A 1,532-nucleotide genomic window follows, 5' to 3' on the forward strand; every position below is an offset into this window, starting at 1 on the left:
CTCATGAGTACGGGGTGAAATTTGGATTAATATTTTTATCAAATAATTACAATTTAATATTGTAAGTGTGTATCTCATACAAGAGATGAGGGTACATAGAAAAAAAATTTAACATAAAATTTTGAGTTGTTCCCCCTCTGTGGAACAATGGTATGTGTAAAGATTTTGACAATTACACAGGTTCTTTATTTGAGAAGATTCTACTGTTTCATTACCTGCAGATGTTGTTTAACAACATGAAAGAGTTGCCTATTTTTGACATGCTGTGTAACATATAACAATAAAAGATTTTAGTAAATAAGCATATTGCCGTACTATAGGACATGAAATGCCTCTTAGCACTGATGGGAAATAAAGTCCCTCTGCCTCTCCCCCAGGAGAGATAACACGCCAACGTTTTGGCAAACGCTTTCAGTACAGATGCATATTGTGTGTCTTTATCCATAATGGACACTTGTACTTTAATTTTTATCCCCCACATCCCTTCTATTATTGAAATGCTGAAACAAAATGTCCGCAGCTTTGAGAGTAAATCCGCAGCATTTAGATTTCACATGGATTGCTCCTCTTTTCTTCACTTTGTATTTGAACTGATGATTTCTTACCTCTAAGGACACGCTGTTTTGGCCACCACTTATCTTGTCTCCTGATAAGCTGGCCCATTTAGGGTTGTCCTAGAAAGGCTTTTTCAGTCCCGAATCTTATGATTATCACACACTGTGGAATTTTGATCTAAACATTGTGAGTGTTCAGAATATCGAAAAGTCACCAAGAAGCCCCACTCTCTCCAACAAGATGACCTGCAAGGGCGGCTTGATAGGAAAGCTGAGCCCAGCTCTCAGAGAATAAGCAGGGGTGTGGGGGCAGCCTGGGAGTTGGGATCAGCCTCTAGACCTTGAAGTGCAGCAGCTGTGCGTTGTCTTTGAGGCTGAGGATCAAGCAGAGAATATGAGATAGGCAAACGTTGGCTTAAACTTTCTTCTCTCTTTGATTGTCCTTGGACATCTGCCTCATCTCCTGTCAAGAATGTTTGGCAGCTGTTAGCTCAGAATAACACAGTTCTGCTGCCCCAGCCGCTACCCCAGTCTTCTAATACTTTAAGCCAACTAGTCTCCGTTATATGCCTGGCCTGATACACAACTATGCTAATGCCTTGAGCTAACTAGCTTTCTATCAAGCCATGGAAAACACAGGGAGAGAGTCTTTGGTTTATTTTCCTCACGTGCTAATTGGCTTTAATTGTTGGCCAATTGGATTTCAAGTTCAGAAAAGACTGGACTACACAAAGACAAGTGTTAACTTAAGACCGTGGGAGAAGCAAGCCAGCCCTTTTGGTCTTTAATGTAGTAGACTTTATGCAGATGCACATGTCTCCCGGCCGTGGGGGTCCAGGGGAGAATGCTGTGGGACCATCATGATGGTTTCTTAAAATCCGTAATTTTCCCCATAGGCCAAATACCAAGCACGGGGACCACCTAACCAGAAGTTGGGGGTGAATATATTTAGCATTTTTAGCACCCATTATACCTCAT

The 1,532-nt window shown here is 41.4% G+C and overlaps 1 annotated feature.

The window, feature by feature from the left end:
- Window positions 816-929: a transcriptional cis regulatory region, noted in NCBI's record as "candidate enhancer chr15.3490 targeted for multiplex CRISPR interference". NCBI's record gives its function as "positively regulates NR2F2 gene expression in K562 cells {active_cell/tissue: K562}" and the evidence as "EXISTENCE:mutant phenotype evidence [ECO:0000015][PMID:30612741]".

The sequence above is a fragment of the Homo sapiens genome, chromosome 15 (assembly GCF_000001405.40).
Source record: "Homo sapiens chromosome 15, GRCh38.p14 Primary Assembly".
Classification (NCBI taxonomy): domain Eukaryota; kingdom Metazoa; phylum Chordata; class Mammalia; order Primates; family Hominidae; genus Homo; species Homo sapiens.